Source organism: Homo sapiens, chromosome 3 (assembly GCF_000001405.40).
Source record: "Homo sapiens chromosome 3, GRCh38.p14 Primary Assembly".
NCBI lineage: Eukaryota > Metazoa > Chordata > Mammalia > Primates > Hominidae > Homo > Homo sapiens.
The window spans coordinates 37096011-37114301 of NC_000003.12; the positions used below are offsets into that span (position 1 = coordinate 37096011).

The 18291-nt window shown below is 36.7% G+C and overlaps 1 protein-coding gene across 55 annotated transcripts in view; it reads right to left on the bottom strand.

Annotated features, from left to right (window-relative positions):
* LRRFIP2 (LRR binding FLII interacting protein 2) overlaps positions 1-18291 on the bottom strand; it is a 123735-nt gene that overhangs the window by 43385 nt on the left and 62059 nt on the right. For 27 of the 55 annotated variants that reach the window (NM_017724.2, NM_001348308.1, NM_001348304.1 and 24 more), the window contains one exon: positions 606-650. In NM_017724.2, coding sequence (NP_060194.1) covers positions 606-650 — 45 coding nt within the window. Of the gene's footprint in view, positions 1-605; positions 651-6913; positions 7004-9444; positions 9514-12062; positions 12120-12626; positions 12675-13516; positions 13562-13642; positions 13694-14980; positions 15056-16904; positions 16971-18291 lie in introns of all 55 variants that reach the window. The other 28 variants (XM_006713396.2, XM_006713389.2, XM_017007469.2 and 25 more) reach the window with 10 other exon arrangements.

Below are 18291 nucleotides of genomic sequence, written 5' to 3' on the forward strand. Positions count from 1 at the left end.
CCTAAATTAATTTTACCTGCTTTTTACTTTTTAAATGTGGCTACCAGAAAATTTAAACTTACATATAAGTTCGCATTTGTGGCTCGCATTACATTTCTACTGGACAGAGTTAATTTATCTTTCTTGGGTATAGCATAAAATTAATCTTGATAAATCATCTCCCTGACTTTCTAATAATACTTTCAGAAGAAAGAGACTTTAACACAAAGCAAATTCTAGAAAGGAGTTATTTTACTTCAAGAAACAATTTATATATATAAAAGGAAAAAATATCTCAGAGTTTGTCACCACCATTCCTAAAGAAACTTCATTTTCAGTGTTTACTGGCTTCTTCTCAGGATCAATTTCTAGAGGAATGAAAATCAAAAGAGCAGCCAAAAGCTAAAGAGGTGACATTCAAGGAAATAAAATGCAGTGCCTCTTCTCTTCCCAGGGCCTCACATGATTTAACTCCGAAGGAATTTTGGAGGGTCAAGGACAGGAAATAGATGAAGGGAGGAAGAGCAGCTACATCAGACCAATTGTTGTAAAATAAATAATGAACAAGTTACAGATAGCAAGTTTAATTGACCTTGAGAATTTCCCTTAGGAATTTACATACTCACTCTTGTATAATTTTCAGCATACTGTTTGTCAGATTTTTCATCCAACTAGAAAAGAACAAAGATAAAAATCAGTAAAGATGCTTAGCAAGTTGACTTTTTTTGGGAGGAAAAAAGTGATCTTGAGTTTTCCAAGTTCAATGATGTTTGAAGCCTAAAAATAAACATATTAAAAATGAAATTAAAATTCCAGTTTAACATAAGATAAAATGTCAGCAACTTTAATTTTTATCCTAAGGGAGACACTGAGTAAGCAATCTATGTTTACTCAAAAGTTTAGAACTTTTGGGTAAATTTTCTGTTTAAGGTATTTAAAACACATTAAAGAAGGCTACATATAAAGTTTTAGCACTGCAAATGTTAATACAAAAAAAGCTTGTACATATCAAAAAGAAAAGTCTGATAAAACCAAAAGCGAAAAACTTTTATTTCTAAACATTATTAGGACACAGGACACACAGATAAAGACTAGTACACTCAGCCAAAAAAGTTCAGATTAGATTAAAGCATGTTAAATATGTCACCAAAATATTTTCCCCCACATCAAGGATTTTTTGTTTTCTCAGTAATACATGCACATGACCAAAAAAAAAAAAAAAATCAAACAGCACAAAAGAGTATGAGTAGGGCTCTCTCCCTACCATGCCATACCCTGACCACCAGTCTCTAATAGCAACCAACCACAAAGTCTTTAAAAAAATTCTAGTAAGTGTCCCATATATGTTCTACATCTTCTTTTTCCCCTTACCAAGTCTCAGAGATTTGAGAAATTACTTCATCTTTCTTCATAGCATTTATCACTCCCTGACACTACGGTATTTATCCATTTATTTATTGTCTGCTCTCTTTCTATAATGTAAGCTCTATATCAGTATGTTCTTTTCTGTACTCCTAGTATCAAGAATAGTGTCTGGCATAGAGAAGGGCTCAAAATTTGTTGGATGAATGAATAAATCATACCCCATCTATACTAATAGACTTCCCTCATTTATTTTAAACAGCTTCATAGTAGCCTGTTATCTCAACTTGCCACAATTAAATTAACCTATCTTCTGTAGATAGGCCTTAAGGTTGTTTCAGACAGTATTTCAAGAAGGGAGGTACCTTAAAAGTCTAGTCCAAACCCTGAGTTTTATAGCTAAGGAAAAAGAAATTCAGAGGTGACAGATTTTGCTGAAGGTTGCAGAGCTGAATCCAACCCTTAGTTTTGTAAATTTTCAATTCAGTGTTCATATTGTTTACCTGAATATATATGTTATTCCAATTATCACCAGGAGAAAAAAGGCACATAGGGATGTAACTAAATGAAAATAACTCCAACTCCTACACAAACCTTCTAGACCCAATCTAGAGAAGAGATCTGAAAACCTTCTCAGTTAATTATTAAAACATGAAACATCATTTCTGGCTCTACTCAGAACACTTCACCCTAACTTCCACATATCTGAAAGTTTTTAGTGTTCTTTTTATTACCCACACTTATGTTTATAAATATTCTTTATTATGATGATAGTATTACATCAGTAATATAAACACTATTTTTAGACATTTAACTCTTTGTTACTTCTTGCTGTAAAAACTCTGAAAAAGAAACTAATTTTAGTTCATTTTAATTTTTAAAACAACATATAAATGTTTCAAAGCAGGTAATGACAGCGATTGAAATGTTTTTTTTTTTACTATACTTTAAGTTCTAGGGTACATGTGTACAACGTGCAGGTTTGTTACATATGTATACATGTGCCATGCTGCTTTTTTTAACTTTAATTTTTTTTCTTTTTTTTCTTTTTTTTGAGACAGGGTCTCACTCTGTCACCCAGGCTGGAGTGCAATGGTGCGATCTTGGCTCACTGCACCCTCTGCCTCCCAGGTTCAAGCTAGTCTCCTTGCCTCAGCCTCCTAAGTAACTGGGATTACAGGCACCCGCCATCACGCCCGGCTAATTTTTTTTTGTATTTTTAGAAGAGATGGGGTTTCAACATGTTGGCCAGGCTGGTCTCGAACTCCTGACCTCAAGTGATCCGCCCACCTCAGCCTCCCAAAGTGCTGGGATTACAGGCATGAGCCACCATGCCTGGCCTGAAATTTGTTTTTAAATACTATATTGCCAATTATTGCCATAAAAAGGAATAATCCTTTTACACATCTATACTGCATTGCCCAATATTTAATGTATTATTCTTCAAGATGAAAGAAATATTATATTTGAATAAACTGCCTTATCTTCCTGAGTATTTTCCAACTCTTTTCTGCTAATGTGTTAAAGAGAAAAGCACACAGCATTCAAAATTAAAAGTCTTCTAAGCTTATTTGAAATCCTTCCTCATACCCACTTCTCACAAAAATGACCTCCAAAATCATCCAGTTTTTAATAGACTGTCCATGGAATAATCTTATATTTCAGAGGTTGCATCACTGAACTAATCCATCACAATGTTGACTCTATTGCTTTCACCATCTTCTGAGAGATCCCAATTGTCGCAACCCAAACTGATCATGCACCAAACCTCGGAGATTGTCAAGCCAGCAAAAATTACCCAAAGCAACCATGCCATAGTTCTCTTATTTTGGCTACACTAACTTGGCAAGTTCTCACTTCTTAGACTTGTACTATCTTGTGTGCTATCTTCCATTTAGACAAAAACCTAGCTGAAACTTGGTATTCTAAAAGCCCAATAGGATCCAACAGCCAAGAGTTCTACATGGCTGCAATGCAATAACAAGCTAATGTTCATAATGATGATCCAGAGTCTGCCAGATCCAGAAAAAAGCTTTTTAAACAGAATAAAATTTAATCATATTTAATATATTAAGCTGTAAAACTGTAGTTTAATAAAGTATTTACAGTGTAGTTTCTTCAATGCAGTCATTGGATCTTGATCTTTTGTTAATTTCTAATTTATATATATACTAACTTGATAATGCTACTCAAAAATTGTTTGAAAAAATATCTGATTTCCACAACCACAGAAGGGAAGACATCAATCAATTTTAACAATTTCCTAAAGCAAAACTGGCTAAGGATTCCATTTAGAAATGGGTTTAATTATTAACAATCAGCAAAATTTCAGTTTTGCTTAAAAAACATTTACATTTGTTTGCTTTATTGTAGCCTGACTTACAAAACAGAAATAAAGCCAATGTAGAAGAAAATAAGAGGCTAGAACCCCCAAAAATATTATATAGGCTTGCAGAAACATGACCTGGCACCCTTTCTCAGCACCTCCTAGCTCAGAAGTTATAAACTATTAGCCTACAAACATATTTAGTACACAACGAGGTAACCAGAAAATGTCTTTTAAAATTCTGAATTCGTTGCCAGCATTTAAAAATCATAATATTTCATGTTGAAATATTTCCAGGTCACCGTTTTTTGAAAGTGGGAGGGGAGGGAGGTCTATCAACATCAAGTCCCCTTTGTATTCCTCTACAAGATGAGTTGGACTACAGCATACCCTTAAAAAGAAATACTACTAGAGAAAGTTATTTGCTCCAGAGAGAGGCCCAGAAAATACTGTAGGCTTTTCCAGGAGGCAAAATTAAGGATAAGGTACTGATATGTAACCATTTAAAAATACACAAATCACCTGTAATCCCAGCGCTTTGAGAGACTGAGGCAGGAAGATCAGTTGAGCCCAAGAGTTTGAGGCTGCAGTGAGCTATGATGGCTCCACAGCACTCCAGCCTGCGAGACAGAGCGAGACCCTGTCTCTTTAAAAAAATATATGTATGTATGCGTATATATATACACATACATACATACATGTATACATACATACATACATGTGTATGTATATATACATATACATACATATATGTATACACATGTGTGTGTCTGTGTGTGTATACACAAATACATATAAATAAACCAGTAGCTTGCAGACTATAAAATAACAGGGGTTAGCCAGATTTGTAAATCCCTGTTCTAGAGAACTTTTTCCTTATGTTAAAGAGTTACAGTTAACTAGTAGGGGCAGGGGGAGATTTTTTAAACTGTCAGCACTTTCACTTATATGTAAGTACTAAAGTAAATCATCACAAAATAAATATAAGGAAGACATAACTATTAATTCAGATATTATAAATTAAGAGGCTGACAGAATTCAGTTTTTAAGAGAACAGATGTAAACAGTAAGTTTAATTGTCCATACTTATGGGGGAAAAACGGGGATTGCTAGGCAATTTAATATAAAGGGCAATATTTCAGGGGAATGACTTGGAAACCAGTCTTCTAACTTTGTATGCAGAGAGAGTTATTGATTAGACCCACACCAAGATGATACTGTTGCATAGCCAGATTTGAGAACCAATGATCTGGAATGCTTAAGAACCACACATAAAATTATCTTCTAGAATTAAAACAGTTCAGAAATAGTTATTTAAATACGATCAGTGAAATGCTAATTATAAATAATTATTTCTTCATTTAAAACTACTGTCTAACGTTTCTATTAAGAAATGTTGGCTGGGCGCGGTGGCTCATGTATGTAATCTCAGCACTTTGGGAGGCTGAGGTGGGTGGACCATGAGGTCAGGAGTTCAAGACCAACCTGGCCAAGATGGTGAAACCCCGTCTCTACTAAAAATAAAAAAAATTAGCCAGGCGTGGTGGCAGACGCCTGTAATCCCAGCTACTCGGGAGGCTGAGGCAGGAGAATCACTTGAACTCGGAGGGTGGGGGTTGCAGTAAGCCAAGATCGTGCCACTGCATGCCAGCCTAGGTGACAGAGTGAGACTCCGTCTCAAAAAAAAAAAAAAGAAAGAAATGTTGGCCAGAAGTGATGGCTCATGCCTGTAATCCCAACACTTTGGGAGGCTGAGGCAGGTAGATTGATTGAGGTCAGGAATTCGAGACCAGCCTGGACAAGACAGCAAAACCCTAGCTCTACAAAAAATACAAAAATTAGCTGGGCGTGATGACACACGCTTGTAGTCCCAGCTACTTGGGAGGTTGAGGTGGGAGGATCACTTGAGCCCAGGAGGTTGAAGTTGCAGTGAGCTGTGATCGCACTGCTGCACTCCGACCTGGACGATAGGTCTCAACCCTGTCACCAAGAAAAAAAAAAAAAAAAGAAGAAGAAGAAGAAAGAAAGAAAAATGCCACCTCTCACCCCCTCCAAAGTGCTTGACAATCAGTACAATCAGTATAGCCTTGGTCCATGGGCAAAACAACACTAATGCCAGCAAGAGAGGAGAAGCGTCAGAGAGATAATCAGGCTGTTATTTTGAGATGAGCAGGTAGATCCTAAGTTGTTGGCTGGAGTTCATTCATTAAGACAAATGCCCCAAGGACAATCCTTTCCTAAATTCAGTTCCTGATGAATGTGGGAGCAATGGATAGGCACACTTCTTCAGAACAATGCCATAATCCAAATATTTAAAATATATTCAGATTGTTCCTGGTTAGTACAAATTAGTGACACTTTACTAAGTGCTATATTTCATTATTCAACTTTCTAAGTCTACCTATCACTTTATAGATTCACTAAAATCAAAAAGGAAAATACTTTTTTTAACCAATAAGGAATGTCTGAATAAGGGCTAGGTATTAGATGATACTAAGGAATTACTTATTTCATTAGTGATGATAATGATATAAGAGATCTGAAAAAATGTTCAGTTACAGATACATATTGAACTATTTATTGGGAAATGACATGACATGGGATTTGCTTTAGAATAACTCAGGGAAAAAAAGGAGGGAAGGGGGAAGAAATCAATGAAACAAAATTGGCAAAATATTGATAATTGTTGCAGATGCTGATGGGTTCTATGCGGAGATTTTTCCACAGAGGGGGAAAAAGTTTTTTTTTAAAAAAGAACATATTAATAAATACATTCCAAAACAGAGCAAATGTGTTTGATTTTAACATGTTCAAACAATTCTTTTTTTTTTTTTTTTTTGAGATGGAGTCTCACTCTGTTGCCCAGGATACAGTGCAGTGGTGTGGTCTCGGCTCACTGCAACCTCCACCTCCTAGGTTCAAGCGATATTCCTGCCTCAGCCTCCAGAGTAGCTGGGATTACAGGTGTGCGCCCCCACACCCAGCTAATTTTTTTTGTATTTTTAATAGAGACAGAGTTTCACCACGTTGGCCAGGCTGGTCTCGAACTCCTGACCTCAGGTGATCTGCCTGTTCTGGTCTCTCAAAGTGCTGGGATTACAAGTGTGAGCCACCATGCCCGGCCCAAACAAATATTTCTTAAGACAATAAATCAAGTTCCCACTTTTATTATAAAATAGCTAACATATTAGCTGTTAGTCACAAGCCTGGGACAACATAACCAACCACCCCATGCAATACACTCACGCTGGACAAATCTGGGATACTGATATCATCCACCTCAGAGACAACACTTCCCCTACGATTGGAGCGACTGAAATAATCAGCGGCAGATACCTTTCGGTCAGAAAAAAAACAAGATGCTTTCAAGGTTAAGAAAAAAGAAAGAAAAAAATAAGAACATTGGCCAATTAGGGAAAAGTTTTTTAAAATTTTGATGGGTGATAAAGTACCAAGAAATAAAATGAGGAAACTGCTGCAATTAACCTACTCAAAAAAATAAAAAAGAAAAGGGGTTCCTAAATGAAATCACAGCTCTACAATCAGCTTTTTTACTCATCTTAACTAGAGTCCTATGCTACAGAGAACATTTACTTCCTGAGGACCAGCAAATCTCTCATGTTTAAGATATTTATCACCCTGAACAGAGGCATTTCTAGGTCAGTATATACCTCTACTATAATTCTCAAAATTTATAATTCATTATAGCTATCAACTCTGTTAAGAATATATATGCTGAATGCAGAATTATTTGCAGGGTGTTTACTGCACCTTTTCTCAGTTTACACAGTTCCCCTTTTTTTATATTCCCAAAGACCAGGAAATGTAAGACAAAATAATGAAGGAAATAAACTATACCGGCCTCTTTTTAGTTCCCCAAACACACCAGTTCTCCCTCACCTTAGGCCTTGGCACTGGCCTAGAACGCTCCCCTCCCAGCTCTTCAAGCAACTGGCTCCTCACATTTCAGGTCTCAGCTCAAAGGTCAGTTTCTCAGAGAAGCATCTCTAATCACCCCATCCAAAGGGTAACCCACACACATAGACCCCTCCAGGTTCCCTATCACATTATCTGTTCTCTTCACAGTCCCTGACATTTCTTTCTTTTTGTTTCTTTACTAGCTTATTTTCCATCTCTTTCACGAGGATATAAATTCCATAAAGTCAGAAATCTAGTCTGACTGGCTTAAAATAGTATTCCTAGCACTTAACACAGGGCTTTGAATACAACAGGTACTCCACAAACATTTATTTAATTTTAAAATAAGTGATTTTTTTTTAACCTCATTCATCATCTATTCCTTACTTCAGCTGACTGTTTGCCTTGCTTTAAAATACTTCTCAAGGAAGGGAATTCAGAAGCCCATCCACAGAGATAAAACAGGCTTACAAGTATGAAGTTTTGCTAAGGACTGATAAAATCAAGCAATGGTATTTTTATTCACAATAATAATAATAATGATTGCATTTATAGATATTAATATTTATTGGCACCTATTTGAGAATTTTGATAGGCATTTTCTATATAGTATTCCATTTAATCCATATATTAAACCTACCTACAAAGATAGTATTAACATCCCCAATGTACAAATAAAGACACTGCCATTTACACACTAACAGGTAGTAGAAGTGGATACAAGCCCAAGCATCATTATTTAAAGTCCCTGCCCTTTCCACTCCACTGCGTTCCAAGGTGTTTTTAGGTGTTGTGGCATATTATTTCTCCTTCAGTTGTGAGCGTGAGCATTAGTTGCTTTGCTAAGGAACTAAAACGGCTTTAATTAAATAAATGAATGTATGGTAACAAATCTCTCCAACATTTAATGTTCCCCTTCTCTATGAAAACTCGGGTTTATAATCTTTCACATAACTCATGTTAAATGGCCTATTTTTCTTAAAGGAATTACAGCCTCTTATGCTCTTTATTCTAGCTCTAAGCTGACATACCATCCGGAACAATGTATTTTCCAAATCAATTTCTTAAATATAACAAAAATGTCATCAGTTTTCTGTAAAATTTAAAGCTTCATTAAAGAATAACCTGAAATTATATTATTTGTATTCTAACATAGCTATTTGTTGCCTCTACAATTATTATCCAATTGAATGTCTAAGACTAGAATTTTTAAATTTTGTCATTAGCAATTCTTAAGTTCACAAGTCTTTTTTTTTTTTTCTTTTGAGAGGCACAGTCTCACTTTGCTACCCACACTGGAGTGCAGTGATGCAATCATAGCTCACTGCAGCCTCAAACTCCTGGGCTCAAGCAATCCTCCCACCTCAGTCTCCCAAGTAGCTGGGATTATAGGCATGAGCCACCCTGACTGGATTACAGGTCTTAACAGGTGGATAAACACTGGTTAAATCTAAATACAACAATATAGAAAGCAATTAATGGTAACATGATTTGTAATCCATAGTTATGAGTTTTATACAATATGGAAACATTAATTTTGCTGAAGAAATTTGTCTTTGGTGAACTGCACACACATGTATGTGCATAAAACAGCAACAAAGAAGAAAAAGTAAAAACTTTTCAAATAATGATTCACTCCTAAGAGATGTAAAAAGGCAAATTATTAATGAAAGCTTGCACAGCCCACAGAGAATATGTGTTCTCAACATGTTTTATAAGGCAAAATATTTATATAACTAAATTTGAGGAAAATGCTCTTTTTGTCAAATGCAAACTTCACTTTCCAACAGACTTCATGTGATCATGCATTGCTGTCATTTAAAACTCATCTTATTTCTTTGCATGCAAATCATGCTCACCACACTCTCCCTTCGTCCACGACTGGCACGATCAGAAGACACAATGCTTGCAGTGTCATCGTTGGTAAACTATAGATATTAAATGCAGATAATGAAAAAGATGCAATTTTGCTATGGTGTTACCTCATTATAAGTACATTAAGGAAGGTTTTGAGATGCATATGAATAACTATATAAGCAGCATAATTGGTATAATATAGTGGGCACCTTATATATTAATAAAAAAGCTGGTACAAGGCATAATAAACTGTTATTAAAAATCAGGAGACATTTCCAAAAAGCACAAATAAAGTAAAACCTTATATTTTATTTAAGTTACATTAAAGAAAGCCAGGAGCGGTGGCTCATGCCTGTAATCCCAGCACTTTGGGAGGCCAAGGTGGGTGGATTGCTTGAGGTCAGGAGTTCAAGATGAACCTGACCAACATGGTGAAACCCCGTCTCTACTAAAAATACAAAAATTAGCCGGGTATGGTGGCGGGTGCCTGTAATACCAGCTACTCGGGAGGCCGAGGCAGGAGAATTGCTGGAACCCAGGAGGCGGAGGTTGCAGTGAGCCAAGATCGTGCCATTGCACTCCAGTCTGGGTGGCAGAGCAAGACACCACCTCAAAAAATTAAAGAAGGGGAGGTGCATAAGTAAGCCAACCAAAACCAGCTAGGGATTTCATACTTTTTAAACCTCTGGGCCCTTTGGGATCCCATCAGGGGTCAACAAATATACTTAATGTTTTTGTTTGAGAGAGAAAATAAAAGAATATTTTAAAGCAAAACAATGTAAGTCAATGACAGAAATTCCTACAACAAGGACAACGAAGTGATGGTTCTTATTTCCTTTATTCATTCCTATGCAGCTAGTGGAGATGTTGCTAACATCACCCTACATGGCTCTGTCATCTTCTTGCTTTACCAGCCAAAGACTCATCTTCGATATGTGTAGTTTATCTCCATTCTAACATCACTAAGAAACCATTCTGGCATCACTAAAATAGTTATTCTAACCCCAACCTGCAAATGAAATACGATCTAGCCAGCCTATAAGGACAAGATCCTACATTTGACTGAAAATATAAGCTGGGTACAGTAATACACACCTGCAGTCCCAGCTACTCAGGAGGCTGAGGCAGGAGGATTACTTGAGCCCAAGAGTTCAAATCTAGCAGGGGCCACATAGAAAGCTACCCTCTCTAAATAAAAATTAAAATTAGGCCAGGCACAGTGGTTCACGCCTGTAATCCCAGCACTTTGGGAGGCCGAGGTGGGTGGACCACCTGAGGTCACAAGTTTGAGGTGGGTGGACCACCTGAGGTCACAAGTTTCATGATTCACAATTTACCTTGCAGATTTACCCATGTAAGTACACAAAAATATACTTGGATAAGAATGGTCATTGTATAAGTGTCTATAGTAGCAAAAATATGACAATCTAATGTCCATCACAGGGAAATGACTATTTTTTTTTTTTTTTGAGATGGAGTTTTGCTCTTGTTGCCCAGGCTGGAGTGCAATGGCGTGATCTTGGCTCACCGCAGCCTCCACCTCCCGGGTTCAAGCAATTCTCCTGCCTCAGCCTCCCGAGTAGCTGGGATTACAGGCATGTGCCACCACGCCAGGCTAATTGTGTATTTTTAGTAGAGGTGGGGTTTCACCATGTCGGTCAGGCTAGTCTCAAACTCCCGATCTCAGGTAATGTGCCCTCGGCCTCCCAAAGTGCTGGGATTACAGGCGTGAGCCACCATGCCCGGACAGGAAATGACTTTTAAAATGTATACTTACGCACTAACAGAATATATTGCCATTAAAAAGAATGTGCTAATATGAAACTACCTCTAAGAGACATGAAGTGGAAAAACTAAGGGACACAGCTTACTTGTTTAAAATTTTTATCAAAAAAAGAAAGAATGAAATAAATTTATAGGTGCTGATACAGAAAGCTACTTTAAATAAAGAAAATATATTGAGGAGCAGTATGTAATATGACCCATTTGCACTCAAAATAAAGAGCACTCATACGTGCATAAAATATCTCTGAAAGGTTATTGAAGAACAGAGATTACATTTGGGGAAGGAAAATGGGGAATTTTACTTTGAATTTTCCTTAACTAATATTATTTTTATAAACTTTTAAAAATACTCTAGAAAGATTAGGTAATTATAATTGTCCCAGTTTTGTCTTTCGTATAACAATTTTTTTTAATCAGCTTGTTTTATTTCTTCTCCTTTCACTGCACTGATAGAAGCGCTGGCAAGCAGGTGAAATGGCTCAATGTGCAGAATGTAAAGATAGAAAGGAGAAACACAGGATAGTCAACCTATACAATGAATTATCACCACTGAAAGACAAGAAGTTCTACACAAATGAAAATTAAATATAAAAACTTTAAAAATTCTAATGGCACTGGTTAGAGACTCATTTAAGAAATTACATGCTAAGTCACATTTATAGAGAAATCACCAATTATTAGGACAAATTAGTGCTTGAGTTTATGTACTAAGGGAACACCTAATCCATGCACAACAAAGTGAATCACACCATATCCTCAATATTCTAAACAGTGAGTACAGATTAACGCAACAATCAAAAATTTCTACAAAGCATGCAGAGACTAGACAGCTCACCCCTGGACTGCTTCGGGCTGAACTTATTCTTGATGAATAATAACTGCATTCAGATGGCTATAAAGTTTCCAAGAAGAAAGGTTTTACAACAATGATCACCTCATTATTCTAATGAGAATACATTAGGGACCATTTACCTAACTTGCCCCTGGTTCTCAAGATAAAGGTAACTGTTATTCAGTGGTGTAGAACTCTACCTCATCCCCACCCTCAAGATCCACCAGCCCTTGGCTAGAGGGAGCGAAGAGGAAGGGGATGCCCTGAGAAGTGCTGCTCAGAACTTCTTCAGGAGGAACTAATGAACAAGAAAAGTGGTTTTTCTATGCATTTCCCTAATACTTGAAATCATGATTTCCAGCAGGCATTTTATCACAGCTTGGGTGAGAGTCACAACTGGCTAGCTCAATGACTTGATCACAGCTTAGAGAGTAATTCCAGGTCAGATTAAATGACTTTTTCTTTGTATATTTTTCTTTTTTATTAATTTTTGACTTTTTCTTTGAAAGTAAACTGTGCCCACCCACATTTCCCTCCTCTTCACCACCTTCCCCTATTTAGACTTACAGTTCGAGGACCATAAGGGTTATATAATCCACCATTGTACAATGATGCCTAAGGAACAAAGGAAATATCACTTAGCTATTTAGCTTCAAGGTTGTTTTGAAAATGACTTAATGTTTTCACAATACTCAGTACCAAAAAAGTTTTGGAGAATGATATAAGTGTATAGCCTCCCAGAATGAAAACCCTGAAGGCGGTAATACTCATTTATATGCAAAAATTGCTATCAACCTTGCACTTCATTTTTTAAAAAACACCCCTGGTTACAGTATTTTCTTTCACCATCATGTTATGAAACTGGGAGAATTAACGTGTACACATTTATCTTCTCAAAAGAGGAAACAGAGCAGGAAAGGAAACTGAGGTACAAAGAGCATTTTGCCTACTACTACAATAAAATTAAGTTATAAAACCTCAGGATCCCAGTCCACTAGAACAGGCCACAACACAACAAACAGCTTGAAAGCAACAAATTCACAGCTCACACATTACACAGAGCTACTGCTTTTACTTTTCTAGTCAGCTTGCTTTATTAGATCCTAGTATCAGAGGCCAAGATCATAACTGTCCCAAAGAAAAACAATATCCTTTCCATAAGCAGCCATCTCACAAAAGTATGTGAGTGTGGTAGGACTCAAGCAAATCTATCTTCTCTAGATAAAAAAAAACTGATTCTAAGCAAGGGCTACCAACAGCCCTCTGTGAAAGGAATATGTTCATTTTTAATACCCTAAAGTTGTATATTTTAAGCACAGGCAGCACATTCTGCAGTATACATGACACTAAAATCATGTGTCCTTAACTATTTTGGAGAAAAGCTGTCAAGCCATAGAGTTAGCACCATGACATTGACCCCACCAGCACTGCACACACTGGAAGAGGAAAATACAAACCAGACTGGCACTTCTCAGCAGACCAGAATTTGCAGTAGGAGAGGCCTAAGAAAAAAGTGTATTATTAAACCCCAAAAAAAGCAACTGGTAGCTCTAAAGGCAGAACATTCCTCAGAAAGTACTAACCCTGTCACTCTTATATGTTGCCAGAGGGTCACTGTACAGGGAAGAAGACTGCTAAGAGACAAAAACAAAATAAATAAGCAAAAACAAAAACAAAGATGAATTGGTCTCACCATCATGAATGCAGAGGACTTAAGTTTATGATTTTATACTCCATAATTCATTAGCAATTCCTGAGTGCTTAAGGTAGTTAAGAAACACAAGAAATAAGAAAAACTTAAGTAATTAGAAATTGTTTTGAATATTAATTGTAAGGGATAAGAAACAGCTGGAACAGTTTTCTATGAATTATAAATATGTTTATGTCCCATTGGTCTTCGAGCATTATTGTTAGGATATGGAATGGCAAGTAAGAAAACACTGAGGGAAAGAGGGTCATGGTACCGGGAGTGTGGAAAACAGTGGCCACATCCCACTCACCCAGTTCTTATGATATTTTCAGTGATTTTATGACCAACTCCTAATTGGCTTAGACTGATTTTTGGAGAACCAGATAAATAAGCTCCAAGTTATCTCTACAAACACTCTTTTCCAAATAGATTAGAAAACCTGTTCTTCAAAACAAGCCATGGACAAAGTGCCTTAGTTGAATTAGATAAATTGTACTAGTCAATGAATCCATGCACTAAAAGAACACAGCATGTTTTTAAAGGAATTAAATCTTGCTTTTCCTGATGTCATCTGAGGACATACTTTTCAAGTTTTCACCAAACCCAATCAGAGATGAAAAATAAGAGTACTTAAGTTGCGTGTGCAGGTTTTTTAAACAAAATTATTTTAAATGTACTGTGTGCCATACACTTAATGTGTCTTAAATGTATGATGTGTCAAATGCCTTTAAAAAAACAAGAGATTCTAACATTAAATAATTACATTCTTCTCATGCCACGTGTTTACATTTTTATATGTAAGCTTTTTTAAAAGGGTACCCACTCTGAAGTATATGGATGCTTACAACTTATTTTGAAATGTATCAAAAACTAAGATGAATTGATGGTTAGAGGGTCAAATAGATAATTATGTGATAAAGGAAATATAATGAATTATATAATCTAAATGATAGGTATGTGATGTTCACTGTATTATTCCTTGAACTTTTTTTGTACATTTAAACATCTTTATTTAAAAATGTCTTTAATGGTACTGATTTATAAACATGATGACTGAATAGTTCCCGTTGTTTAAAGAGACTCCCACAGACTATATAAATTCAGTTACCAAAAACTAGTATATACGTAGCCATTTACAGATTAGTTACAGCTAGTCAAAATGCAAAATGGGGAGATTAGAAATATGTTAAAAGTGAATCAAACACATAAAGCCAAAAAAGTTTAGACAAACCCGAGTGTAGTAGGCAGAGGTGGGTTTGCTATGTCTAAGACTGCTATAGTTTCTCTGGTCAAAGTAGAGGCCACTCTGCAAAAAGCAAAATTAAACACATTTTTCTTAGGCTAAATGTTAATAACCTAACAACACACAAAGGCAAAACTGAACACAAAAAGGCAAAATATGATATTGCCAAATCCCTTCTTCTCCAAAATGTTTTTAAATCATCATATCACATTAAGTCAAAGTGACAATTATTTCAAGCCCCTAAAACAAAGACATTACTAAATTTTTAAATTTAAAAACAAGACAATAAACCCTCAGAGAAAATGGAATGAAAACAATTTATTCTCATGCCATACTTAAGAAAGTCCTTGAACACTCCTGGACAACTGAATAATTACCAGTTTTACAATCCATCTGGCAAAGCCACAGAAGTTATTAAAGAGCTATGTATTTGGTTCCAAACATTTCCTAGTCCCATTACTTGTCAAAATAAACTGACAAATTAAGTTACCAAAATGAAAGAGAGAGTACGATAAATATGGTTTGATCTAAAACACTTACGGCAGGTTCATTTATACAATGTACAAAATAAACAATAGTACACATTATAGCTAATTGAGGGAGAGAAAACCATCTATAAAATTCCCTTCCCAACTTCTCTAGCCAACTTTTTTACTCAAGGTTAAGCAAATTTAGGCAATCTCTGACTTAAAGACTCCATCAGTGTTGACAGTGGAGTTGAGGACATCCCTACTCCCACCCCATCCCTACCACCCCTAGCCCTGCCTTCCCACACCGCTCCTCACTCCCCACTCACACCCTCAACTAGGCACCTAAGGCTCACCTCTCCCCAGAGATCCCAAGACCCTACCTTCCAGGGCCTCTCGTTAATTTCCTCCCCATTACATTCTCCCTTCTCTCCTCCCTTGTACCAACCAAAGCCTTCCAACCCTCTCCCCGTTCAACCCATGGGAACCCTGAATTAGCAAGGAGTTGGGACTGCACTTCCTTTGCCAGTACTGTTGCAGCCTAACAGGAAATGGGTGTTTCCAATGTACCAAGTGGGCATTCTGGAGACATTATTTTCCTCACAGAAATTTGTTTAGCAGCCGGGCACTGTGGCTCATGCCTGTAATCCCAGAACTTCGGGAGGCAGAGGCGGGCAGATCACCTGGCAAAACCCCATCTCTACAAAAATACAAAAATTAGCCAGGAAGAGTGGCACATGCCTGTAATCCCAGCTACTTGGGAGGCTGAGGCAGGAGAATCGCTTGAACCTGGGAGGTGGAGGTTGCAGTGAGCCGAGATCGCGCCATGCACTCCAGCCTGGGAGACAGAGCGAGACTCCATCTCAAAAAAAGAAAAAAAAAAAGAAAAGAAAAAAAGAAAAAGAAAAAAGAAGTGTTGTTTCACAAAGTGACTAGAATAAAGAGTATATTAATTCTGCAGTTTAATTACATTATAGGTTAAAGAGTTTTCAGCAAGCTAGTATGGAAACTTTGCCATTACATATTTATTGAAGAAACTAGAAAATGCATTCCAAGTTCCCAAAACACAAACTTTTAGAATGAAACCTATTTGTGAGTTTAGTTACGGCCCATAATACCACAACTAAATCAATTCAAATTCCTAAAATAAGGATGAGAATCTTACTAAACCTATTCTTGAGGTATATTCCAAAGGACAATTAATAAATGAAAATACTTGTTAATGAGCTTCTTGTGATATAGTACTAACTCTGGCTGCTAGGGTTTGCATATGTTAATACTAAAACTTGCAAATGAAAACAAAATTATTTTTAAATTTCTGATAAATCATGTTTCAGCAGATTATCAAGTTTCAATAATGTCCTAGTAGCACACCAAAGCAATCATAATCCTTAAGTTCCTAACAGTACTTCGTGAATTGTGATATGAGAGACAACAGAACTAACCAGTAGGTCTTTATGAGAATCAGAAGACCTCTTCTTCATTCCATGAGAGTGACTGTAAGAATGATTCTGGAAGTAAATATTCCAAGTTAACTTCAATGATTGCATAGCGAAGTTATGAAAATAATAAAATTCATCTTCAAATTATATACACAAAGGTCTATATGAGATACACAATAGTTTACATGCAATTTATTTCCCAAAGGTTAGTAAACAATTCACTGCACTTTACTAGCTAGTCTACCTGGCCTCTCTACACATCTGCATTCCTCCCTCACCTCCCTCTGTGCCAAGCATCTGTGTGTCTGGCCAGCTAAAGAAAACTTGATTAGAACTAAGAACCAGGCAGAATATTTGTGGAGACCTTCACACCACACTTGAGTCCCTCTGACTTCTTTTTTTTCTTTTTCAATAGAAACAGGGTCTCACTCTGTCACCCAGACAGGGGTATAGTGGTACAATCATGGCTCACTGCAGCCTAGAACTCCTGGACTCCTGCCACAGTCTCCTGAGTAGGTAGGACCACAGGCATGTACCACTACACCCAGCTAATTTGGGGTTGGGGGAACAGGTAGAGACAATGTCTTGCTATGTTGTCCAGGATGGTCTTGAACTCTTGGCCTCAAGTGATCCTCCTGCCTCAACCTCCTGAAATGCTGGGATTACAGGCATGAGACACCACTCCTGGCTAAGGGTATAGGTAACAAGATAATTCATTTCCTTCTATAGTCTTCCTTACCTAAAGGTCAAAAAGCAATCTTTTGGAACAATTAAAACAGGACTGAGAGAACAAAGAACATGACATTAAACTGTCCCAGACAGTACTCTTAACCCAAATTAGTGAATCCACAGTATGTAATGCTCAGGAGGAAAACAACCAACATGGTATGGATTGCCCAGCATACCATAAATGGTCACCTTATAAAAGGGTCCCTTGAAGACAGGATTGTCTCAATACCTAACTTTTCCTAGGAGTACACAGCCAAGTACATATGGGGAAATTAAGGCTAGCAATACTACTAAATAGGTAAATTGGTAGATAAGAAATCTAATCTAGGTACGTACTACTTGCCTGAAATAAGAGAGTGTGGCTAGAAGTGCCCTACCTATCAAGAGCCAAAGGCAACAGACTGCTCTAGGTAAACCATCTCACATATATATAGCTGTATTCCCAATCAATGATTAAAAACTCATTTTACTTTTTTTTTTTTGAATATGCATCTTTTTATACATTACTCTGAATATTTTAAGAGATGTCTATGTAATTTAGAAACTCAGGCAACCTATTGACAAAATATTAACCCAAGAAAAACAAGCTATAACTTAAATTCCTTGGTTAATGACATACCATAAAAAACTAACCAAATCAAACCAAAATGTTTGGACATAA